Consider the following 1298-nt stretch of genomic DNA (forward strand, 5'->3'; position numbering starts at 1 on the left):
TTTTGGTAACTATAGCTTTGTAGTATAATTTGAAGTTCAATAATATGATGCCTGCAGATTTGTTCTTTTTGCTTAGGATTGCTTTGGCTATTTGGGCTCTTTTTTGGTTCCATATGAATTTTAGGATTTCTTAAAATTATGTGAAAAGCGATGTTGGTATTTTGATAGAAACTGCTTTGAATCTATTGACTGCTTTGGGCAGTATGGTCATTTTAACAATATTGATTCTTCCAACCAATAAGCATGAGATGTGTTGCCATTTGTTTGTGTCATCTATGATTTCTTTCAGCAGCGTTTTGTAGTTTTCCTTGTATAGATCTTTCACCTCCTTGATCAAGTATATTCCTAGGTTTTTTTTTTTTTGCAGCTCTTGTAAAACAGATTGAGCTCTTAATTTGATTCTCAACTTGGTCATTTGTGTATAGCAGTCCTACTGATATATATACATTGGTTTTTGAAACCTGAGACTTTACTGTATTTGTTTATCAAATCCAGGAGTCTTTTGGAGGCATATTTAGGGCTTTCTAGGTATATGATCATGTCATCAGTGAACAGTGATAGTTTGACTTCCTCTTTTCCAATTTGGATGCCCTTTATTTCTTTCTCTTGCCTGATTGATTATTCTGGGTAGGACTTCCAGTACTGTGTTAATTAGAAGTGGTAAAAGTGGGCATCCTTGTCTTGCTCCAGTTTTCAGGGGGAATGCTTTCAACTTTTCCCATTCAGTATGATGTTGGCTGTGTGTTTGTCATAGATGGCTTTTATTATTTTGAGGAAAGTCCCTTGTATGCCTAGTTTGTTGGGTGTTTTTATCATAAAGGGATGCTGCATTTTAGCAAATGCTTTTTCTGCATATATTGAAATATAATATGATATTTGTTTTTAATCCTGTTATGTGATGTATCACATTTACTGACTTGCATATGTTAAGCCATCCCTGCATTCCTGGAATGATGCCCACTTGATCATGGTGTATTATCTTTTTAAGGGCTGTTGGAGTCAGTTAGCTAATATTTTGTTTAGGATTTTTGCATCTATGTTCATCAGGGATATTGGTCTGTAGTTTTCATTTTTTGTTATGTCTTTTCCTTGTTCTGGTGTCAGGGTGATACTGGCTTCATAGGATGAGTTAGGGAGGATCCCTATTTCTCAGTCTTTTGTAGTAGTTTCAGTAGGATTGGCAGCAATTCTTGAATGTCTGGTAGAATTCAGCTGTGAATCCATCTGGCCCTGGACTTTTTTTGTAGGAATTTTTTAAAATTACTGATTCAATCTCACTGCTTGCTATTGGTCTGTTC

The sequence above is a fragment of the Homo sapiens genome, chromosome 9 (genome assembly GCF_000001405.40).
Source record: "Homo sapiens chromosome 9, GRCh38.p14 Primary Assembly".
NCBI lineage: Eukaryota > Metazoa > Chordata > Mammalia > Primates > Hominidae > Homo > Homo sapiens.